The sequence below is a fragment of the Homo sapiens genome, chromosome 17 (assembly GCF_000001405.40).
Source record: "Homo sapiens chromosome 17, GRCh38.p14 Primary Assembly".
NCBI classification, from domain to species: domain Eukaryota; kingdom Metazoa; phylum Chordata; class Mammalia; order Primates; family Hominidae; genus Homo; species Homo sapiens.
Window position 1 is genome coordinate 73,273,659 of NC_000017.11, and position 23,365 is coordinate 73,297,023.

The 23,365-nt window shown below is 52.5% G+C and overlaps 1 protein-coding gene across 2 annotated transcripts in view, besides 10 other annotated features; it reads right to left on the reverse strand.

Annotated features, from left to right (window-relative positions):
- Window positions 8,107-8,236: an enhancer, noted in NCBI's record as "active region_12694". NCBI's record gives its function as "activates an Ori minimal core promoter by ATAC-STARR-seq in GM12878 lymphoblastoid cells {active_cell/tissue: GM12878}" and the evidence as "EXISTENCE:reporter gene assay evidence [ECO:0000049][PMID:35858748]".
- Window positions 9,966-23,365, reverse strand: part of CDC42EP4 (CDC42 effector protein 4) — a 28,378-nt gene continuing 14,978 nt past the window's right edge. For both annotated transcript variants that reach the window (NM_012121.5, XM_005257182.3), the window contains exon 2: window positions 9,966-12,954. In NM_012121.5, coding sequence (NP_036253.2) covers window positions 11,772-12,842 — 1,071 coding nt within the window. In that variant the 5' untranslated portion in view covers window positions 12,843-12,954 and the 3' untranslated portion in view covers window positions 9,966-11,771. The remainder of the gene's footprint in view (window positions 12,955-23,365) is intronic.
- Window positions 11,089-11,645: an enhancer, noted in NCBI's record as "H3K4me1 hESC enhancer chr17:71280886-71281442 (GRCh37/hg19 assembly coordinates)". NCBI's record gives its function as "activates a minimal SCP1, AML or CMV promoter by ChIP-STARR-seq in primed H9 embryonic stem cells {active_cell/tissue: H9 hESC(primed)}" and the evidence as "EXISTENCE:reporter gene assay evidence [ECO:0000049][PMID:30033119]".
- Window positions 12,201-12,756: an enhancer, noted in NCBI's record as "H3K27ac-H3K4me1 hESC enhancer chr17:71281998-71282553 (GRCh37/hg19 assembly coordinates)". NCBI's record gives its function as "activates a minimal SCP1, AML or CMV promoter by ChIP-STARR-seq in primed H9 embryonic stem cells {active_cell/tissue: H9 hESC(primed)}" and the evidence as "EXISTENCE:reporter gene assay evidence [ECO:0000049][PMID:30033119]".
- Window positions 12,757-13,311: an enhancer, noted in NCBI's record as "H3K27ac-H3K4me1 hESC enhancer chr17:71282554-71283108 (GRCh37/hg19 assembly coordinates)". NCBI's record gives its function as "activates a minimal SCP1, AML or CMV promoter by ChIP-STARR-seq in primed H9 embryonic stem cells {active_cell/tissue: H9 hESC(primed)}" and the evidence as "EXISTENCE:reporter gene assay evidence [ECO:0000049][PMID:30033119]".
- Window positions 17,268-17,487: an enhancer, noted in NCBI's record as "active region_12695". NCBI's record gives its function as "activates an Ori minimal core promoter by ATAC-STARR-seq in GM12878 lymphoblastoid cells {active_cell/tissue: GM12878}" and the evidence as "EXISTENCE:reporter gene assay evidence [ECO:0000049][PMID:35858748]".
- Window positions 17,778-17,857: an enhancer, noted in NCBI's record as "active region_12696". NCBI's record gives its function as "activates an Ori minimal core promoter by ATAC-STARR-seq in GM12878 lymphoblastoid cells {active_cell/tissue: GM12878}" and the evidence as "EXISTENCE:reporter gene assay evidence [ECO:0000049][PMID:35858748]".
- Window positions 17,778-18,126: a biological region, named in NCBI's record as "Sharpr-MPRA regulatory region 4436".
- Window positions 17,832-18,126: an enhancer, noted in NCBI's record as "tiled region #4436; K562 Activating DNase matched - State 5:Enh, and HepG2 Activating non-DNase unmatched - State 14:Gen5'". NCBI's record gives its function as "activates a minimal TATA promoter and a strong SV40 promoter by Sharpr-MPRA in K562 cells, with weaker activation in HepG2 cells {active_cell/tissue: HepG2 | K562}" and the evidence as "EXISTENCE:reporter gene assay evidence [ECO:0000049][PMID:27701403]".
- Window positions 18,110-18,991: an enhancer, noted in NCBI's record as "H3K27ac-H3K4me1 hESC enhancer chr17:71287907-71288788 (GRCh37/hg19 assembly coordinates)". NCBI's record gives its function as "activates a minimal SCP1, AML or CMV promoter by ChIP-STARR-seq in naive H9 embryonic stem cells {active_cell/tissue: H9 hESC(naive)}" and the evidence as "EXISTENCE:reporter gene assay evidence [ECO:0000049][PMID:30033119]".
- Window positions 18,258-18,327: an enhancer, noted in NCBI's record as "active region_12697". NCBI's record gives its function as "activates an Ori minimal core promoter by ATAC-STARR-seq in GM12878 lymphoblastoid cells {active_cell/tissue: GM12878}" and the evidence as "EXISTENCE:reporter gene assay evidence [ECO:0000049][PMID:35858748]".

Here is a 23,365-nt window from a genome sequence, read left to right on the forward strand (position 1 = left end):
TTAGTCAGCTCGGGCTGCTGTAACAAAATACTGTAGAGAGTGATTTAAGCAACAGATGTTTGGCTGGGCGAGGTGGCTCACACCTGTAATCCCAGCACTTTGGGAGGCTGGGGCAGGTGGATCACCTGAGATCAGGAGTTCGAGACCAGCCCAGCCAACATGGCAAAACCCGCATCTCTACTAAAAATACAAAAATTAGCCGGGCATATTGTCACATGTCTGTAATCCCACCTACTTGGGAGGCTGAGGCAGGAGAATCACTCGAACCCGGGAGGCGGAGGTTGCAGTGAGATGAGATGGTGCCATTGCATTCCAGCCTGGGCAACAGAGCGAAACTCCAAAAAAAAAAAAAAAAAAAAAAAAAGCAACAGACCCTTATTTCTCTTAGTTCTAGGAAGTCCAAGATCAAGGTGCTGGCAGATTTTGTTCCCAGGGAGGGCTCTCTTACTGGCTGGCAGATGGCCACCTTCTTGCTGTGTCTTTACAAGGCGAGGAGAGAGAGACTGAACGCTGGCCTCATTCTCTTCTTACAAAGACACTGATTCCATCATGGCGTCTCCACCCTCAGGACCTCACCTAAACCTAATCACTTCCCAAAGACCTCCAAGTCCTAATACCATCACATTGGGATTAAGGGTTCTGTGTGTGAGTTTTGAGAGGACACAAACATTTGGTCCATAACACTCGCTTCACAACAGCTTGCCATTTCCATTTGAATCAGCTTCCATGTATCTGAGATCAAACTCAAACTCCCCCAAATCCATTCTTCCCTCAGTCTTTCCTGCTCAGAAAAAGTGAAACTGCCCAGACACTCAGGCCAAAAGCTAGGTGAATCTTTGGTTCTCTAAACATGCTTGTCCCCGCCATTCACCTCCCGGACTCCTCATCCTCTGAGTCTGATTTAAATGCCACTTCTTCAGGGAGCACCTACCCCCCATGACCTGTGAGACAGGGTCTCACTCTGTACCCCAGGCTGGAGTACAGTGGTACAATCATGGCTCACTGCAGCCTCAACTTCTGGGCTCAAGTGATCCTCCCACCTCAGCCTCCTAAGTAGCTGGGGCTGCAGGAATGCACCACCACGCCCAGCTAGCTTATTTTTTGCAGAAATGGAGTCTCATTATGTTGCCCAAACTCCTGGGCTCAAGCAATCCTCCTACCTTGGCCTCCCAAGATGCTGGCATTACAGGCGTGAGCCACCACACCCAGCCCCCAGTGACCTTATCCAAAGTGAGGCCCCGGGTTATTCTCCCTCTGAGCGTTAGTCTCCCTCCCAGCATCTAGATGTGTGTTTCCTTCAAATCAGTACCATGTTTGCTGCTTTTACTTATCTTCTTGCTTGTTGAGTGTCTGTTTCCCAAGCCCTCCAACCCAAACCCTTAAGGCCAAGGCCCATCCGGGTGACTTCGGCAACAGTTCAGTAGACACAGTGCCAGGGCCCTCTGCCCTTTTAGGGGCCCACAAACGTGTTCTAATTTATTTGAAAATCAGAAGAAAATAGCCGGGCGTGGTGGCTCACACCTGCAATCCCAGCACTCTGGGAGGCCAAGGCGGGCAGATGACGAGGTCGGGAGTTCGAGACCAGCCTGACCAACATGGTGAAACCCTGTCTCTACTAAAATACAAAAATTAGCCCTGCATGGTGGGGCGCACCTGTAATCCCAGCTACTCGGGAGGCTGAGGCAGGAGAATTGCTTGAACCCAGGAGACAGAGGTTGCAGTGAGCCAAGATTGCACCACTGCACTCCAGCCTGGGCAACAGAGCGAGACTCCCTCTAAAAAAAAAAAAAAAAACAACAAACAGAAGAAAATATGCAAACCTGTAGGTTTATAGCAGCAGAGTCATAAATATAATTTTCACAATTTTTATGGAGGAAGGGGTCCACACAACTTACAGTGCCACCCTGGGACTGTGTTGGCTTTGCCTACTGTTATACCTCCCAACACATCCCAGAGTACTTGGAGCATGGCAGGGGCTCAGTACATATCTGATGAATAAAGGAATCTGCACTATAGTTTTCTTTTTTTCAGAGAATACAACAGCAAACTCTCTGCAGTCAGCCCAGATTTGGTGGAGGGTTGGGGAAGAACCACGGTTGTGAGAAATGATATTGATGCAGGATTGTCTTCAAGTCAGCCAGGAGATGACACAGTCCTCTCACTACTCTAGATCTGCAAGGAGAAGCCCTCTGGCCCATGCCACCTTCTCAATACAATCCTCGATCTGACTTCAGGATGAAAAATTAGAAAGCTGCCTTGGTACAGCCACTTCTCAAGTATACCCATGTAGAAACATTTTACTGGCTAATAGGAAGTATCAATTTTCTCAATCAAGCAGGCAATTAAAAAATGTAAGTATATACATTTTTCCTCAAGGGACTGCATAAATTTTTTTTTTTTTTTTTTTTTTTTTTTGCTTTGAAGAAAAGAATGTGACCTAAAAACTATTTTTGTTTTTTTTTTTTTTTGAGATAGAGTCTCACTCTGCTGCCCAGGCTGGAGTGCAGTAGCACGACCTCGGCTCACTGCAACCTCTGCCTCCCGGGTTCAAGCGATTCTCCTGCCTCAGCCTCATGAGTAGCTGGGATTACAGGCGCACACCACCACTTCCGGCGAATTTTTGTATTTTCAGTAGAGACGGGGTTTCGCCATGTTGGTCAGGCTGGTCTCAAACTCCCTGTGATCCGCCTGCCTCAGCCTCCCAAAGTGCTGGGATTGCAAGCATGAGCCACCATGCCCGGCCCTGAAAACACTTTTATTTGTCTTAAATTGGTCTTTATATTTTGCCATTACTTTTAACGACAAAAAATGCAATTACATCTTTTTTTTTTCTTTTTTTTTGAGACAGATCCTGGAGTGCAGTGGCATGATCTTGGCTCATTGCAACTTCCGCCTCCCGGGTTCAAGCAACTCTCCTGCATCAGCCTCCCAAGTAGCTGTGGTTATAGGCTTGCGCCACCACGCCCAGCTAATTTTTGTATTTTTAGCAGAGACAGGGTTTTGCCATGTTGGCCAGGCTGGTCTCGAACTCTTGACCTCAAATGATCCGCCCTCCTTGGCCTCCCAAAGTGCTGGGATTACAGGCGTAAGCCACCGTACCCAACCCTCAATTACTTTTGCACCAACCTTTTAAGAAAGTGGCTCACTCCTCCTTTATGAGCAGTGGTTTTCAGCCCCTAATAGGGCATTTGGCAATGTCAGGGGACTTTTTTTTTTGAGACAGGGTCTCACCCTGTTGCCCAGGCTGGAGTGCATGGTGTGATCACGGCTCACTGCGGCCTCAACCTCCTGGGCTCAAGCCATCCTCCCACCTCAGCCTCCCCAGTAGCTGGGAGCACTAGGTGGACACAACCACACCTGGCTAATTTTTTATATGTTTTGTAGAGATCTGGTTTCACCATGTTGGCCAGGTCTTGAACTCCTGGTCTTGAACTCCTGGGCTCAAGTGATCCAACTGCCTCGGCCTCCCAAAGTGCTGGGATTACAGGCATGAGCCACCGAGCCCGGTCTGAGGACATTTTCCACTGTCACAATTTGAGGGAGTGCTTGGCATCTACCAGGCGGAGGCCAGGGATGCTGCAAACACACTACAGTGCGCAGGTCAGTCCCCAGTAACAATGAATGAGCCAGCCCCAAATATCAATAGTGTTGGGTTGAGAAACCCTCCTCTGGGAGGATCTAAATTGTGCCTCTTGGATCATGTGGGTCTGGCCCTCCATAGAGTGGGTTTTACTGATCTGTGCCTTGGTATCAAACCCTCAATTTATCCTGAGTAACTCTGTAGAAAGCAGCTGATAGGGTTTGTGTGACTGTATCTGTGTCTTACTTAGTCCATTTGGAGTGCTATAAACAATATTCCACAATCTGGGTGGCTTATAAACAACAAAAATTTGCCAGGCACGGTGGCTCACACCTGTAATCCCAGCACTTTGGAAGGCCGAGGCAGGCAGATCACTTGAGGTCAGGAGTTTGAGACCCACCCAGCCAACACAGTGAAACCCTGTCTCTACCAAAAAATACAAAACATAGCCAGGTGTGGTGGCGTGAGCCTGTAGTCCCAGCTACTCGCGAGGCTGAGGCAGGAGAATCACTTGAATCCGGGAGGTGGAGGTTGCAGTGAGCCGAGATCACGCCACTGCACTCCAGCCTGGGAGACGGAGCAAGACTGAGTGACCCTGTCTCTAAAACAAAAAAGGACTGTCGTTGACGGTGTTGCTTGGGACACTACCCGTCATCCCTTCAAAGGTCCCACGAGAATTCCTCTCAGACTTTAGTGTCAGAAATAGCTGCGCTGCTTCTAGGTTGAGTGTTTTATTTTGCTTTTTAATTGAGTCAGAATCCTGCTCTGTTGCCCAGGTTGGAGTGCAGTGGCACAATCTCGGCTCACTGCAACCTCCACCTCCCAGGCTTAGGTGAGTCCCCTGCCTCAGTCTCCCTAGTAGCTGGGATTACAGGTGTCTGCCACCACGCCCAGCTAATTTTAAGCGGAGTTTCACCATGTTGACCAGGCTGGTCTCGAACTCCTGGCCTCATGTGATCCACCCGCCTTGGTCTCCCAAAGTGCTAGGATTACAGGCATGAGCCACTGCACCCGGCCAGGGTTGGTTTTAATCTTGTGGACTTTGTGAGTCTCAAAACCGGCAGATTTCCCTCTTTGTTTTGACTGATACGAAGCTCAGAATCCTGTTTGCAGTCCACCTTTGAGGATTGTGGAGCCCCAGCCAAAGAACATTTCTGTGTCCTACCCTCTTGGTTCATTGTACCATGTGTTCCAGTGTTGTTTTCTCTCTGATCTATTTTTATCCTATTGTATTTTATGAATTTTTGTAAGCTGCCTCTAATCCTTTTTGGAAGAAAGCAGGGCAGAAGAAGAAAACAAGATTCATCAGAACCCTGTGGCCTTGACAAGTGTGTTTTAACATGCCAAGTGTCATTTAGGGTTGGATTCTGGCCAGGGAAGGCAGCTATCCTTGGCTCCTCCTATCTCTCCTGGGAGTCTCTGTGGAGAACAGCAGCTCAGTAGGTTAGAGCAACAGGTTTTAGAGGTAGAGCCAGTATCCATCTGCCTGCAAGCACCACTCCCTCCCACCAAAATATTCTTCCCAGTCTCCCATCTGTCTGTTGGCAGGAAGCCACGGGGCCTAGAGGAGATCGGAAAGGGGAAGAATAAAGATAAGGTCTCCCATTTTCATTCCTAACTTTTATTTCTGGCATCTTAAATCAGGGCCCTCAGGGCTCAGGGAAAGATCGTGTACGTGTTAAGTGCTGCGGGTGAAGGGTGGCCAGGAAGGGCACCTGCCCAAGTGTGGAGGGAGTGGGGGCCTTGGGGAGTCTGTCATATGAGGGTCGAGGGGAGCCAGGCAGGGGTGGGGAGTGCCACACACACCTGGAAAGTCCCACCCCTCCATCTCGCCCTGCGTTCAGGGATCTTCCAGCCACCCCTGCAGCTATACCACTCCCAGCTCTGCACGCAGTCTGCTGCTCACGCCATCCCTCAACCTGTCCCTCACCTCCCAGGCTGCAGCACCCAGGCCAGCCCAGAGAATTCCACCTGCTCTGCTCTGCTCTGCTCTACTCGTGGGACTTTAGCTAATCTCTTGTCCTCCCAGCCTCAGTCTTCCTATCTCTAAAATGAGCAGGGGCCAGGCACAATGGTTCATGCCTGTAATCTCAGCACTTTGGGAGGCCAAGGCAGGCGGATCACTTGAGGTCAGGAGTTCAAGACCAGCCTGGCTAACACGGTGAAACCCCATATCTACTAAAAATACAAATATTAGCCGGGTGTGGTGGCAGGCACCTGTAGTCCCAGCTACTCGGGAGGCTGAGGCAGGAGAATCGCTTGAACCTGAAAGGGAGAGGTTGCAGTGAGCCGAGATCATGCCACTGCACTCCAGCCTGGGTGATAGAGCAAGACTCCGTCTAAATAAAATAAAATAAATAAATAAAGTAAAATAAAATGAGCAGGGAGAGGAAACTAGATCCTAAACTTTGAGGATCCTGAGAATCCCTTGCTGCCTTCATGTGTCCTGACAGCCTCTGTCCCTTTGTTCTACTTTCTTCTGGGAATGTGGTGCCACCTTGGTGGAGAGAGGAGGAGTGGCTGGGCGTGTGTAACTCTGGGGTCAAAGATGGACACCACGCAGGAGTAGCCTGGATGCCAGCAGGAGCACAGGCCCGAGGCTGCAGGCTTGAGAGGCAAGGGGCCCAACCCAGAGCCCTGGTCCTGCCCAGCAGAGCCAGAGGCCAGGCAGAGCAACCCTGAGAAGGGCAGGGCCTTGGCCGCCTGGTGGGCAGAGGTGACCTATGGGAAGCAGCAGCTGCCGCTGAAGGGGGCTGGAGCAGCCAGTGCCTCCCTGACACTTCCCTTGGGCACACAGAACCGTGGGAGATGGGCATGCCCCACTCTGAGAGGCTGATAGCCCCGTCTCTGTGCTGCTTGGCCAAGCCAGGCCACCGGCCCCACCTTGTCATTCCATGTCCAGCTCCTCTGTTTCCTAGACCTGTGGGGTGGGCTGGTTCTTTCACCTCTAGCTGCTTCCCCTGTAAAATGGGGGTGATATGAATGGCATGGACCTCACGGAATTGTTATGAGAATGAACTGAGGCCAATGCAAAGAACAATGCCTAGCATATGGCGGTCATAGCTGCTAAGACATATGGCCCGTATCACAGCGGTGCAGAGCGGCGTGTGCCCAGTAAACGGGCGCACAGCCCTATCCACATGGGGGACGTGGAGGGAGATGCTCTGGACCCGCTGGGGCAGGTGGCGGGGCTGGTGCCAGGACATCATCGGGCCAGAAGGCTTTGGGTCCCATCCCATTTTGGAAAATGGTGACTGAGATCTGAATTTAAATGACCAAATTATTACCCAGAAGTAGTTCCTGGTTCCTTTAGACAGAAAGGGCCCACAGAACATCTTTAAAGCAAGAAGTGCCCTGCGGGGCCCTAGGTTTCTCAGGTGAACCTCAGAGACCAACGGGGAAAGAGTAAGGACCCCCCAAATCCAACCCCACCCAGGGAAGCTCTGGCTCAGCCTCCATAGAGGTTCAAAGTATGACCTCATATGAGGCCAGGTGTGGTGGCTTGCGTCAGTAATCCCAGAGTTTTGGGAGGAGGCCAAGGTGGGAGGATTGCTTGAAGCTAGGATTTTGAGACCAGCCTGGGCAACATAAGACCTCATCTCATAAATAAATATATAAATGAATAATCAATCAATTATAAAAGGCTGGGTGCAGTGGCTCGCACCTGTAATCCCAGCATTTTGGGAGGCCGAGGTGGGCGGATCACCTGGTCAGGAGTTTGAGATCAGCCTGGCCAACATGATGAAACCCCGTCTCTACTAAAAATACAAACAAAAATTAGCCGGGTGTGGTGGCGTGCACCTGTAATCCCAGCTACCCAGGAGGCTGAGGCAGGAGAATTGCTTGAACCCGGGAGGTGGAGGCTGCAGTGAGCCAAGATTGCACCACTGCACTCCAGCCTGGGCAACAGAGCGAGACTCCGTTCTCGGAAAAGAAAAAAAAAAATCAATTAAAAAAAATAGCATGACCTCATTGCAAACAAAGCTTCTGGTAAAAAGTTGAAAACAACTGAGCTACTGCCTAATTTTAAAGATGGAGAAACTGAAGCCAATTGGAGCGAGAAAATAACTGGCCCAAGGCTACCCAGCAAATCTTTTTTAAAAAATTTATTTATTGGCTGGCTGCGGTGGCTCATGGCTGTAATCCCAGCCCTTTGGGAGGCCGAGGTGTGTGGATCATGAGGTCAGGCGTTCGAGACCAGCCTGGCCAAGATAGTGAAACCCCGTCTCTACTAAAATTACAAAAAATTAGCTGGGCCTGGTGGTGGGCGCCTATAATCCCAGCTACTCGGGAGGCTGAGGCAGGAGAATTGCTTGAACCTGGGAGGCGGAGGTTACAGTGAGCTGAGATCGTGACACTGCACTCCAGCCCAGGCGACAGTGCGAGATTCCATCTCAAAAAAAAAAAATTATTTTTTGGTAGACATGTTGTCTCGCTGTTACCCAAGTTGATCTCAAACTCTTGGTCTCAAGGGATCCTCCTGCCTCAGCCTCCCAAAGTGCTAGGATTACAGGTGTGAGCCACGGCGCCTGGCTCCCAGCAAATCTTAACAGAGCTCTGTGGCCTGGCTGGTTCTGCGTGTTCATCTCATCCTTGTCTCCTGGGTCCACTGAACCCCCAGCCAGAAGGTATGCTCCTTAAAGCTGTGAATCAAGCCAGGTCCCCGGGTCTTCTTGAATGCTCAGAGCTTTTCCATCAATGGTCAAGAAACAGATTCTGGGGCTCGGGGCGGCTGGTTTCTCTGGGCCCCTAGGGAGTCCCTGGTTAGTCGGTGTAGGTACAGTCATTTCTCTCTCTTGGGAGGTTGCACTGTGTCTGGGAGGCACAGCCCCTTCTCATCTGCCTGGTCCTCGCCTGAACAGTACCTTCCTCTCCCCAGTCATCCCTGAGCTAGACTGTAGCCCCTAGGGACCCGTCTCCCAATGGGCCCCAGCTCTCCTCCCTCTCTCTTCTTCCCTTGGGGCAGCCAGAAGTCCCCGCTCATAACTCCCACACGAATGAGCCTGTCTAGGGACAGAGGGAGGGACCTGAGTGACATTTTAATTATGCCTCTAATTGCTTTCCAGGGAGATGAGTGGGGAACTCACATTTCTCTGTGGGTGCTCAGGGGAGAGTGCAGGGTTTCCACCAGGAACTCAGCCACATTGAGATCCCCAAGATTTCCCCAGATTTCCTGAGAGCAAGCGGGGGCTTCAACAAGCAGTGAGCCAGCCCTACGCAGACCAGGGCTCCCTTCTGAAGCTGTCCAGAAAGAGGGGAACATGATTCAAGGGAAGGAGGTGGTAGGGCAGGGGCAGGGCAGTGGGTTCAGGGGCCACTAGACCCTCACCCCCTGACTTTATATCCCGAGGTTTTGATGTGCCCAGGAGTGGTGGGGTGAGAAGGGCAGGAGTTTTGAATGAATTCTGGGCATTAGAGAAGGCGGCCTCGAGGCTTATCTGATCATCTTTCTCCATCTGGAAAATGGGGATGTGGAGCTTCTATCTCCCTGAGAAGTGAGGTTGAACTGAGGACCTGCCACTTGTAAGCTGATTTTCCAGGCTTAACGGTAAAAGGGGAAAGAGGAGGTGGTAGCCCCGCTCCCAGCATCATGCAGAAACTGCCTTCAGGGCCAGCCACTTTCTGGTGGTGACAGTTCCGTGCACCAGGACACCAGGGGGCTGGGGAGAACACAGTCACTCTCATCCTAATCACAACTGTATAAAAAGCCCATGTCGACCGGCACGGTGGCTCACACCTGTAATCCCAGCATTTTGGGAAGCCAAGGTGGGCGGATCACTTGAGGTCAGGAGTTGGAGACCAACCTGGCCAACATGGTGAAACCCAGTATCTACTAAAAATACAAAAATTAGCTGGGTGTAGTGGCGCACGCCTGTAATCCTAGCTAGTTGGGAGGCTGAGGCAGGAGAATCGCTTGCACCTAGGAAGCGGAGGTTGCAGTGAGCTGAGATCACACCCCTGCACTCCAACCTGGGCGACAGAGTGAGACTCCATCTCAAAAAAAACAAAACAACAACAACAAAAAAAAAAAACAAAAAAAAACAAAAAACCAACCCCCTCCCCCACAAAAAGCCCATGTCACTGTTTCTGTGCCTCAACCCTCTAAGAGTGGCAGGATACCCATTTTACAGAGCAGGAGAGGGAGGCACAGAACAGCTAAGCGACCAAGTGCCAAGGGCTTCCAAGAGATGGCAGTTAGGGACACCTGAGTCCCCAGACTCTGAAGGGGCCTGCCCAGGCAGACAGCATCGCAGGAAGGGCGGGTCCTCACGGACAGAGAGACAGAAGCCACCTCAGGCCCCCCTGGACAGCTCTAGGACCTGGGTCCAGACCCCACCCCCATCCTGAAATAGCCCTCCCAAAAAGCAGAGACAGACACCAGGCGTGCTTTAGGGCTTTTTTTTTAATGTTTCCTCACTGTTTTGACAATATCATGAAAAAAATCAGTTTAGAATCTGGAATTGGCCTGGACGGGATTCGAGGGCAGCTGGCGGGGGCTGCATAGCCCCTGAGGTTCCTCCCCCACCATGGGACCTAAGCTATTGGAAACAGGAGCACCAACAGGGCACCGAACCTGGAACTAAGTTAGTGTCTAGAGTCAGGCAAGAGAGGAGAGTCAGGCAAGAGAGGAGGGGCCGGGCCACAGTCGCCATGGGGACGCCCCTGGCTGTGGTTGGTTCTGTGTCTCCCCCTCCCCTCACTGGCTACATGGAGACAGGGAGGTGGGTCAGGCTGTTCCCAGGACAGAAAAATAACCGGCAGTCAACCTCAGGGCTCATACCCGAGCTTCTGCTCAATCCCCTCGGGGACAGTTACAGGACTCAGAGAGAAACGTGAATTTCAGAAAAACAAATCATTTTTCACATAAGTGTTCCAAATATTGCGTGGGGCATATTAATGCTAGAAAATTATCTTTTGTTTACCTGAAATTTGCGTTTAACTCAGCACTCTGTTTTGGTTTTGCTAAATCTGGCCAACCCTGGCCTCAAAAGTCGGTGGGGGGAGGCCTGAGAAAAGAAAGGGAAGTAGTCAGTACTGAGGGTATTGAGGGGAGGGAGGGAATAACTCAGCCAAAAAGAAAAAAAAGGCTTTCCCCCCATAGGAATGATATATTATTTAAAAAAAAAATCGTTCTCCAAAAATATTCTGCACTGGCCTTCCTCAGTTGTTAATAGCTATGGGAGGTGCGTAGGGAAAACACACACACCAGACACCCACCCCATGTCATTCTAAATAAAGTTGGGAAGCACTAAAGTTGAGCTGGTGTCTTTGCCACGGATGTCCCCAGACTCCAGTCCGCTAATCGCCACCAGACTCCAGTCCGCTAATCGCCACTGTGAATTTTGAAGAGGAGGCTTAGTATAAAGGTTTTCTAAAAGGATTGATTCTCATTCTGAGGCAGACCTATTAACACCATCCTGATATTGCTCTATAAGGATTTAAACACAATAATAAAGAACAAACAAGCCCCTAGGGACTGAGCGAGTGCCCTAGCCCTGTTCCTAGTGTCATCCTGGAAGGGTCCCTTCTTGCAATTCACGAAGCCTGGGGGGCTTTCCTTCCATTCTCCATCCTGTTCTCTTCCCCTGGAAAGGGCTGCGTTTAGTGCACATGCTCGCAGCTGGCCCCCCGTCCAGCTCAGCTCCAAGGGGCTCCAGATTTCCAGGGCAGGAGCTGGGGTGGGGCAGGGAGGGGCTGAGAGGCAAGACCGTCTCCCTCCTGCTGCAGCTGCTTCCCCAGCAGCCACTGCTGGGCACAGCAGAAACGCCAGCAGAGAAAATGGGAGCCGAGAGTCCTTAGCCCTGGAGCTGAGGCTGCCTCTGGGCTGACCCGCTGGCTGTACGTGGCCAGAACTGGGGTTGGCATCTGGCATCCATTTGAGGCCAGGGTGGAGGAAAGGGAGGCCAACAGAGGAAAACCTATTCCTGCTGTGACAACACAGCCCTTGTCCCACGCAGCCTAAGTGCAGGGAGCATGATGAAGTCAGGCAGCCAGTCGGCACCCATGCCAGCCCCCTACGTCCTCCGAAGACCCGAGGGCCAGGCCAGTGTCCCTCATCTACAAGGTCCAGGGTCCATGGTCTGAATCAAGGGTCCTGGCTGCCCCTGCGCCGTAGGGTCAAAGGTCATAGTGGGGTGGGGGCAGGGAGAAGATGCAGCCAAGAGCTCCCGGTGGCCACCCACTGTCCGCCTCACACACGGATTTCATCCTCCTCCTCCTCATCCATGAAGGAGAACTCCTTGTCTGGCTGTCTTGAGACAGCAGCCCGGGCCCTGTCCGGCCCCCGGAAGGCAGGGCTGCGCTCCTCCAGGATGCCTGAGGTGCAGCTGGAGAGGGAGCTGCTGTCCCGTGTGGTGTGGCTGCCCATGCTGCGGGCTGAGCCGGGGCTGGGGGCCGCTGCTGCCCACCCCTCATCCTCCAGAGCATGGGAGGGGAGGGAGGGCAAGTCTGGGCCAGCCTTGCCTTCCTGCCTTGCCAGGGGAGGGGCCGCCACGGCGTACGGGGGAGCCTGGGTGATGGTGCCAGCGGCGCCCTCATCGCCATGGTAACCACCCTCCCCCTCCTCGGGGTCCCACTCCTCCTTGTCCATGATGCTGAGGACGTCACCCAGCATGGAGGGCCCCAGGTCGATGTGGAAGGACATGATGGACTCCGCATGCTTCAGCCCGTACGTGGCCTTGGGCACGACAGGCAGATCTGTCAGATCCCCAAAGGCCTGCTCATCGAGGAGGGGGTCAGGGGAATGTGGACCCGCGGCCCCATTCCGACGGGGCACTGCCTCCTCCGTGCCCGCCTCCTCATCGCCGCCCTCCCCGTCATTGGCCTTCTTCACGGGGCTGGATGACAGGCTCTTGGGCAGCTTACTGGTGCCCTTCTCCGCGGCCTCCTTCTCATTGAGCTGGGGCAGGGACATGGCATTCTTGACAAACAGGGCCGAGTCCCGCAGGGAGCCCAGCATGTCACGCTGCTCCCGCTCCCCCCTGGTCACCGACTGTGACCGCTTGCTGCCCCGGAACTTCCTGGACAGGAGACTGCGTTTGGAAGATGAAGAAGAGGGCTGTTCGTCCAAGGACTCGCCGTCGGGCTCGCCAGCCTTGCTATTGAGGAAGGAGGTGTCCCCAAAGGCGTCTCCGGCCCGGCCAACGTGCATGGTGTGGCGGAAGTCGCCCAGCGGGGCGCTGATCATCTCGGCCGTGAGGTCCGCTCGGGAACGGCGCTTGGAGTGCACCGAGCTGGACACCAGTTGCTTGAGGATTGGCATCTTGCTGGATGGGCGGGGAGGTGGGCCCTCCCGAGGTAGCCGGCAGGTCTGGGGTCAGATCTGAAGTCCAAGTCCAGTGGGCAGAGGGGGACGCAATGAGGAGATCATAAGGCTGCAAGCAGAGAATGAGAGGCAAAGGATTAACGCGGGCTGGCCACACGGCACAAAAGCCTCTTTGCCAGGGGACTGTCATTTAAACCCCAGCGCTCCTACCAAAGTTAAATGCTGTGAAATAAGCCAGCAATCCATGGTATAACCCTGCCTGTTTCTTCATCCGCAGGCATTCAGAGTAGAGGAGTGATTTTGCAAATCTGGTTAGAGTTCCAGTAGCCTCGGACACACTTTCCCTGAAACTTGAGAGAGACAGAACCTTTCTTGCAGAAGACAATGCCTCCCCTGCCCCTGCAAGCCAGGATGCTGCCAGAGTAAACATGACCACATTTAAGGACGCGAAGGTAAATCCAGCAATTCCAGGCAGCAAGCCAGGGAAGAGATGGAGTCTATGAGTTGGCTCCTATGAACAGTCAGCCTGGAGATGTGCTGTAAGTTCTTCCTGCTGTCTAACCTCGATCCCTGTGGAGTTAGTGGACACCCCACCCTGAGTCCTGGTCCTCAGAGAGAGAAGGGAAAGGACAGGACGGGCTCAGGGAGACAGAGGCTGACCAGCTCCTCCCCCTGCGTGGGCGGCACAGTCCTCTTTCTGAATCAGAACTGGGGTGGGGCTGCTGGGACCCACAGAACCAGCTCCCCAGCCTTTCAGCCTTCGCTTGGTATCCCATAAATGAGGATCCCGCCTGTGACGTCTCCACTGTGGAGCCCCAGGCTCTTTGCTGAGGGTCCACCTTCTGGTGTCTCGGGGAGATCAAGATTGGGCAACTTCCAGTTTCTTTCATCATTAGGGGAGTGGGAGGCAGGGACTGGACCCTAAATGACTTCGTCCCCCCAGGATCTGCAGACTGATTCCTAGGTGATTCACCAGAAATCCAAAAAACAGCAGAGGTAGAGCCCAGGAGCCTGGAGGCACCACTCTCACAGCTCCTGACAAGGGCCAAGTTGAAGTTCAGCATTGGGGCCAAACCAGCCCCTCTCTTCCCTAGAGGGGCTTGCCCCAAATACTAAGCCCAGCAGAGCTGGGCAGGTTGGGGAGAGATGGGTGCAGGGATTTAACAAAGTATGGTGGGTGAGAGGTGATGCTTGGACACCAGGTACCTGCCTGCCTCCCAGTCCAGCCAGCAGCACAGTTCTGAGAGGCACCCCCAGTCCAGACCCACTCTTCCCACTGCAAAACTCAGATGCTGGGTGCTTCCTCCGCATGCCTGCCGCTGCGTCACACAAGCCCACCACACCCCACCTGGCCCCTGACATCAGCCTGACAGGTCTCCCTGTTGGTCTCCCTCCTGTCCATCCTTCACCTCTTGGCTAAAACAAAACCCATCCACATGACGCCCTACCCAGTGCAGACCCCTTGATCCAATGACTAGTCCCCACCTCGCTCCTCAGTGTCCCCTACTTTTGTACCCTGATCTATCCCCTGAGCTGCAGTGGATACAAACAGTTCCCCAATGCAACCCCTGCCACACCCAGCATCCTTCAGGGCTCAGCTGGGACACATCACTACTCCCAGGAAACCTTTAGCCACCACCTGCCCCCCACGGCACTTTGGGAGATGTCCCCTCTTCCAGCAGATACTGGCTACATTATTCTGTCCCTGCTGGCTGGACTCTCATCTTCCCACTGCAGTACAAACTTCTAGGGTTTTGAGGCAGATTCTCGCCCTGTCCCCCAGGCCGGAGTGTAATGGCATGATCTTGGCTCACTGCAACTTCTGCCTCCCGGGTTCTAGCGATTCTCTTGCCTCAGTCTCCTGAGTAGCTGAGATTTACAGGTGCACACCACCACGTCCAGCTATTTTTTTTTTTTTTTTGTAATTTTAGTAGAGATAGAGATGGAGTTTCACCATGTTGGTCAGGCTGGTCTCGAACTCCTGACCTCAGGTGATCCACCCACCTCGGCCTCCCAGTGCTGGGATCAGGACGTGGGATCAGCGTGAGCCACCGCGCCTGGTCCATCCAGAGGGTTTTAACAGGTCTGTTTACCACCGAGTCTGGTCCAGCAGGGTGTGACACATGGTCCGCCTCCAACCGCCTCCAAGCACCCACTGGAAGTCCAGCACCTCCCTCCTCTCCTCCCCTTCTGCCCACAGCCTGGCTCCAGGGCTCCCAGCCTGACCTCTCTGCATCCTCACCCCCATCCGCTTCCCTGTTCTCTCAAGCCTCTGCTGCCCAGCCTCATGGCTTCCCCCACCAGCAATGTCCCCCCTCCCAGTGCCCACGCCATACCGCTTATCATTCCAGCAAACACAAAGTTCTCTCGGGCAGGGAGGGGGAGCCAGGCACCTGGCAGACTTGCCACACAGTGACGTGGGCGAGGACGTGAGGGATGCCTTGAGATGATACTCTACTCTGGGTCATAGGTCAGCTCTCTCTCCTCCCTACCCTTAGGAAAGTGACCTTCCCCTAACTCTAACTTGGATTATCTCTGGGCCCCACCCTCCTGCCCCACCTCAACCTCTAAACAATTAGACATTGAACCGCTAGACCAAAGGTCAGCAAACACTTTTTGCAAAGGGCCAGAGAGTAAATATTCTCGGCCTTGTGGCTGATAGGGTTTTTGTCACAGCTACTCAACTGTCTTCTTAGTATAAAACTAGCCGTTGGCCGGGCACAGTGGGTCACAACTGTAATCCCAGCACTCTGGGAGGCTACGGCAGGAGGATCAGTTGAGCCCAGGAGTTCCAGACCAGCCTGGGCAACACGGTGAGACCCCATCTCTACACAAAATCAAAAAAAGAAAGAAAGGAGCCATAGCAACATGTAAACAAGTAGGCATGGCTATGTTCCAATAACATTTTATTTACAGACAACTTCTGGGTTGGTGAGCAGATCGAGGTGCCAGGAAGGTGGTGCGTGCCCTGCCCCCCACCCCAACACTTGACCCCACGCATCCTCATGCAGCTCTTCCGTTTGGCTGTTCCTGAGTCGTATCTTTTGTAATAAACCAGTAAAAGAAAAAAAACCACCAAAAAGCCACATCTTTATTTACAAAAGCAAACGCAGGCTGGGTTTGGCCCATGGACTGTAGTTTGCTGACTCCTGAATATCATATATGACCCTCTTGGCCAGCCATGGGCTCCTAGGCAAAACTCTGAAGAAAACAGGAAGGGAGGAAGGGAGGGAGGGAGGAAGGGAGGGAGGAAGGGAGGGGAAGGAAAGGAAGGAAGGAAAGGAAATAAGGAAAGAAAAAAAGAAAGAGAGAAAGAAAAAGAAAGGAAAGAAGGAAAGGAAAGGAAGAGAAGAAAGGAAGAAAGGAAAAGAAAAGCAAGGAAGGAAAGAAAGAGAAAAAGAAGCAGCAGAAGAAAAGAAAAAGAAAAAGAGAAGGTAGACTCTGCCTCAGTCACGTTGGGCATAGAAGGGAAAAAGGCCAAGCTTCAAACGAACTCTCGTTCCTGGCAAATCCTTCAGGCTTCTACTGCCACCAGCAGGGACACCAGTCAGGAACGGAGGGGACCCCATCTTCCACCTGCCTGCACCCCGACTCCTGGCTCTACGCACAGCATCCAGGAATCTCAAAGAACTGGAGGGGATATTCAGTGCAGCACTTTCACTTTATGGATGAGGAAACAAGTTTATTGAAGGAAAGTGATTTATCCAGGTTTTTAGCCCAAAGCAACAGAGCTGGGCTAGAAACTGGGTCTTTGAGTCCAGAGCTCTCTCCGCTCCACTCCAGGCCCTTCTCCAGCTCTGGCGGCGGCATTGCTGGTCAGTGACCACCGACCACTGAGTGCTCCTCCCCACTGCTGGCCGGCAGGGTACAGAGAAGGGGGTACCCAACAGCTGCTTCAAGAAGGTTCTTGTGTAATCCTAGAGCAGGTTCCACACTGTTGCTATTTGGGCCAGATAATTTCTCATCGGGAGGTGGACCTGCCCTGTGCACTGTAGGATATTCAGCAGCATCCCTGGTCTCTACCCATTAGATGCCAGTAGCATCCACCCCCCAGTCACAACAAGCAAAACTGTCTCAAGATATTGCCCAATGTCCCCCAGGAGGCAAAACTGCCCCAGTTGAGAAACAGCAGCCTTGAGTGAGAACACACAGGTGAAGATAGAGCAGGTATGCTCACCAGGTAAACAACAAAGACAGAGAAGCAGGGAGGCGGGTGTGGATGGTCAGAACCGGGTGAGAACATGGCGGCACGAGCCCCCAGAGCTGCGTTAAGGGTTTCAACGCCAAGGCAGGAACCCCCAGACCCTGTGAGTGATGTCAGGTCCTGTGGTTTCCCGATCTTATACGCTCATTAGAGAGGAAAGAAAGGGAAACCACAGACCCGGCTCCCCAGGACTCACCAGAGAAGCTGCAGGTCACTGTGGCTGCCCAAAGGGACCAAATATCCTGGCCATGATGGCTACAGGGGAGGACAGCTCCCCGCATCCCATTAGCCACACCACCCAGCACATCCTTGCGGGTAGAACTATTGAGGTAGGTCAGAGGGGACAGCAGGGAAACTCAGCTGAAATCACGGCCATCCTGGGCTAGCCCTGGGGTCCCCAGGATCTTGTTCAACCCCACACCCCAGAAAGACAGGGACAGGTCTACCCAGTGCTGCCTGCTGCCACGGTCTCGCTTCCTGGGGGGTTGGGAACGAGACTTTGTGGCTTGTAGAAAGCCATCTTCAATAACCAGCAAGGAAGGGTCCTGAGAGAGTTGGGGCCTAGAGGGAGTCACGCATCTGTCCCACTGCCCCAGCGAGGAGGGGGCTGCAGTACCTGGCAGTCCACACTGGGGATGAGGCCTGGGTGTCTGGAGCTCAGACTAGACAGGCCACCCAGCAGGATTGAGGGTCAGCAACAGCTTGGTTTCACCAGCCTTGAGTGACCTTGAGTCACTCTGAGCTTCTAACAGAGAACAGTTTGGAGGTGACGAGCTGGATCATAGAGTTTAAGAGAAAGTAGGTGGTGGGAGTCTCGCCAGAGGCCTGGGCAGGTCCTGGGGGCAGCTATGGTTTGGGAGGCCACAGGGCATTGTGGCTTTGGGCGGGGCTTTCAGAAGCATGGTGACTCAGCTCTGGGGAAGTGGCTAAAATAGGCTGCCCAACGTGGGGCAGGCACTCCCCATAGCCTGCCTTGGGCGGGACACCCCCACCCCACCCCAGAAACCACATCCCACTTTCTTGGCAGGGAGAGGGAAAATGGATCACAGCTCACAGCCCTCCCTAGCTCTCCTGAGCCTCCGGAGGAACAGATTCCTCTACCCTCAGCCCACTGACCACGGAACCTTCCTTTAAGGTGGGAACGAGGAGCCCTCCCCAGAAGGTCAGGCCCCTGCTTGGGTCACAGCAACCACACCTTTAGTTCAGCCCTGTTCCTGAGACTACGGAAGACCACCCTTGCCTGGACCCCTCGCCTATCCTCCCTGGCCCTCCCAGCTTGGCCAGCCCAGCAGACCCAGAGCAGAAGGACAGACGGGACCAACACTTCTCACTCCAAGTGACCGGGCAGTGGCCTGTCCCTGGCAGCTTGGCTTGAGGCAGGCGCCAGACCTGAGCTCTCATGGGGCAGCTAGGCAGGCCTCGCTCTCTGAAGCTGCCCTGCGGTTCACCCCGGTATACAGGGTACACAACATGCCTCAATGCCCACTGCCACTGCCTCCGCCACTGCTGCTGGGCAGCATGCCCTCTGCAGGGCCTTCCCCTAGCTGTTCTAACCAACCACCCGATGCCAGGTCCAGGCAATGTGGCCGAATAGCAGAGGGCTTTTAGTGCACGATGACTTTAGTTGTGACCTGGATCGGCTACAAGAGGCTTTGTTCCATTACTCATCATCCAGTCACTCACTCCATGACTTCCTGCAGACCCACTGATATTCACAAACTCTTCTAGGCCCTGGAGATAGAGCAGTGAAAATAGCACGCTGTTTTCCCAGGGCACGTGTGTAGTGTGAGTGTGGGGGGTGGGGGTGGGGAATGGAGGTGTAAACCTATAAATAAAATAAATGGTATCTCATATTCCTCAGTATAAGGAGGGAAAGGGGTGGTATGAGTGGGTGTGGGAGTCAGGGGGTCTGGGGGAGGCCCCTCTTGAGGAAGGAGCATCATGAGTTGAGAACCAAATGATGAGAAGGAACCAGCCGGGTCAGAAGCGACCCAGGCAGAGGGAACGGCGCGTGCAAACGCCGGGGTATAGGAACAGGCTTGTGGCATTTATGGAATAGAATAAAAATCCATGCAGCCAGGGCCCAGGTTACATAGAGCCCTCCCTACCAGGCCACATAAAGAGTTCTGTTTTGTTTTTAGTTTTTATTACAGGCACCTGCCATCATGCCCAGTTAATTTTTGAATTTTTTGGAGAGACCAGGTTTCACCATGTTGGCTAGGCTGGTCCTGAACTCCTGACTTCAGGTGATCTGCCCGCCTCGGCCTCCCAAAGTGCTGGGATTACAGGAGCCACTGCTCCTGGCCGATTTTTTTATGTTTTTAGAGATGGGGTTTCACCACGTCGGCCAGGCTGGTCTCGAACTCCTGGCATCAAGCAATCCACCCGCCTTGGCCTCCCAAAGTTCTGGCATTACAGGCATGAGCCACCGCACCCAGCCCAGGTAAGGAGTTTGGAGGTCATTATAGGTGTACAAGGAAACCGGCGGCTGTTTGTAAGCAGGCGAGTGATTCAATCTGTGTATCTGGAAGCTCCCGGAGGTCCTGGCATTGGAGGAATGAAGGAGGGGAGCTGGAATTCAGTCAGGAGGCTGTTGCAGAAATGCAGGTCAAAGAGGATGGAGACCAGGATGTGGGTCTGGCGAAGGGGGACACAGTGGGAGACATTTAGGCCATGTTTTGGAGGTAGAGACACCCGGGATTGTGGAGGGCCCAGACCAGGGAGGAGAGAAAAGACAGGATCAAATGGGACTCCAGGCCTTCCAGGGGCAGCCTCTGGTCCTGGCCATCCTTTCCCAGGTTTTGCCTGGCAGGCCACGGCCCCTTCTCACAGGAGGGGCTGACATCCTACCCCTAGGCGGAACTTCACTTTGCCGAAACACAGGTGGCATTCTGCTACACAAGGCTTGTCAGATGGAACAGCACGCTGGAGGGGGTTGTGCAAGAGGCTCACTGGGACATGGGCCACAACTCTAAGAGGTGAGGGACTCTGGCTTTAGTCACCAGAGAAAAATCCAGTACTTTCTGGAACACTCACCAGCCTTACCCTGCAAAGATAGGAAAGCACAGGGAAGGCGGAAGACTGTGTTTCATTCAAACTGTGGCAGGGCTGAGGGCAGCTAAGTGAATGGGCGAGAACAGTGACCGCTTAGATACACGTGGTTACATGTTCCAGGCAGGACTTCAATGCCGACTGTGTTGTGATTTTAGCTGACTTTAGTATTCTTGGGGATCTTTTAACTCCTTCATGTGCCCTGCTCAAAAGCCCTTGCATCTGGAAGTGTGCTGCGTGCGCAAGGAGGTTAAGGCTCACTGCTGTAATATTCTGAGCCTAAGTAACCACAATCAAAAACCAAACACAAGGCCGGGCGTGGTGGCTCACACCTGTAATCCCAGCACTTTGGGAGGCTGAGGCGGGTGGATCTCCTGAGGTCAGGAGTTCGAGACCAGCCTGGCCAACATGGTGAAACCCCATCTCCACTAAAAACACAGAAATCAGCCAGGCATGGTGGTGTGCACCTGTAGTCCCAGTTATTCAGGAGGCTGAGGCAGGGAGAATCGCTTGAACCCAGGAGGTGGAGGTTGCAGTGAGCTGAGATCGCGCCACTGCATTCCAGCCTGGGTGACAGAGCAAGATTCTGTCTCAAAAAAAAACAAACAAAGAAACAAAAAAACAAACCCAGGATGGGAACATGAAATGTCACCATCAGGACTCCTGTACCATTTATGTATCTGTGTCAAATATCTCCTTAAAATACCTGGGTGTGGAGGGATCATACTTTCAAGATGGAAAGACCAAATTAAGGGACTTGCCCTAGGTCATGGATTGAAGCCAGAGTTTAATTCCCACCCCAGGGCTCCATTCACTTAAACAGCAATGTACTATCAAAAGTAGGGGGCATCACAGGACAAACACTGAATATGTAATTTGTGTATATACATATATGTGTATATATCTACACACATATATATTTTTATAGGTTATATTCATGTCTATTGTCATTCCACGCATTAGTAAGTTTTAGTTTACACACACACACCACACACACACACGCATGTGCACAAGTTTTGGTGTGTTCTTTCTAAATCCCAGTGGATTTTCTTTTTCTTTCTTTTTTTTGAGACAGAGTTTCGCTCTTGTTGCCCATGCTGGAATGTAATGGTGCACTCTTGGCTCACTGTACCTCCACCTCCCAGATTCAGGCAATTCTCCTGCCTTAGCCTCCTGAGTAGCTGGGATTACAGGCACCTGCTACCACACCCGGCTAATTTTTGTATTTTTTTTAGTAGAGACGGGGTTCCACCATGTTGGCCAAGTTGGTCTCAAACTCCTGACCTCAGGGGATCCACCTGCCTCGGCCTCCCAAAGTGCTGGGATTACAGGCTTGAGCCATTGCGCCTGGCCCCAGTGGATTTTCTTATGTACTCCTTGGGGTGCTAAAATGCAGCACCCACTGTGTCACATGACTCCCACTGAGATTGAGAGATGGTAGACATCTGGGAGAGGATCCAACCCAGTGGTCTTGATTAGGCTGTTGGGACCAGGAGAGGTGACTTGCCAAAGGCCACAGAACTCACAAGGGAGCCGGGCGGTGCTGGAGCCCAAGTCTCTTGACTCCCACCCCAAAGATCTTCCCCAGATAACACCTCAATGGGCTCACCGCCAGGCACTAGGACAACCTTCTGATGTTTGCTACCATCTTGCCCAAATTAAGAGCTGGGAAAGAGAAGAGGGAAGGACCTTCCTCCCACTGAGCAATTGGTACTAGGTGCCACCAGGCAGGGGGAACATTACAAAACTCTGATCCAAGAGCTGCTCAGAGTCAAAATGGTCCCAGGGTGGGGTGGTCTTGCGGTACATGAAACTCCAGCAAAATTTCTTCAAATAATGGCTTTAAAATAAATGATGGTTTTGGCCAGGTGTGGTGGCTCATGCCTGTAATCCCAGCACTTTGGGAGGCTGAGGTAGGTGGATCACCTGAGGTCAGGAGTTTGAGACCAGCCTGGCCAACATGGTGAAACCCCATCTCAACTAATAATACAAAGAAATTAGCCAGGCATGGTGGCGGGTGCCTGTAATCCCAGCTACTAGGGAGGCTGAGGCAGGAGAACTGCTTGAACCTGGGAGGCAGAGGTTGCAGCACACTGAGATCATGCCATTGCACTCCAGCCCAGGCGACAAGAGTGAAACTCCATCTCCAAAAAAAAAAAAAAAAGAATGATGGTTTTAAAATGAATATGATTCAGTTTCCTCAAATAATGGCTTTAAAATGAATGTGATTTAAATGAATATGATTTACCTCCTAGAACTTAACCCTGTGGAACTATTTCAAAGGCGAAAAAAGTCACACACGTATTTGTTGAAGCCTTATTCATAATAGCGAAAGACTGGAGACAGGCTAGTCGCAGTGGCTCACGCCTGTAATCCCAGCACTTTGGGAGGCCGAGGCGGGTGGACCACGACGTCAGGAGTTTGAGACCAGCCTGACCAATATGGCGAAACCCTGTCTCTACTAAAAATACAAAAAAAAAAAAAATTAAAAAATACATAAAAAAATAAAATTAGCTGGGCCTGGTGGTGTGCGCCTGTAATCCCAGCTACTCAGGAGGCTGAGGCAGGAGAATGGCTTGAACCTGGGAGGCAGAGGTTGCAGTGAGCCGAGATCACGCCATTGCACTCCAGCCTGGGCAACAGAGGGAGACTCCATCTCAAAAAAAAAAAAAAAAAAAGACTGGAGACAGACAGCCTAATGCCCAGTGATGGAGGAATGGAATGGCTAAGAAAGCTGGGAGCCATTAACTCAGAGCACCATTCAGCAGTCATGGAAAGTGGGAACTATGAAGACCATAGACAACATGGACCAAATGTTTACCAAATGGCATTAAATGGAAGTGCAAACAAAAGGCAGAACAGAGGCCAAGGCGAAGGTCAGGAGTGCAGTACCAGCCTGGCCAACTTGTTGAAACCCCGTCTCTACTTTTAAAAAAATACACGGCTGGGCACGGTGGCTCACGCCTGTAATCCCAGCACTTTGGGAGGCCGAGGAGGGTGGATCACAAGGTCAGGAGATAGAGACCATCCTGGCTAACATGGTGAAACCCCATCTCTACTAAAATACAAAAAATTAGCCAGGCGCGGTGAGGGGGGCCTGTAGTCCCAGCTACTCGGGAGGCTGAGGCAGGAGAATGGCGTGAACCCGGGAGGCGGAGCTTGCAGTGAGCCGAGATAGCGCCACTGCAGTCTGGCCTGGGCGAAAGAGCAAGACTCCGTCTCAAAAAAAAAAAAAAAAAAAAAAAATACACAAGGCCAAGCGCCG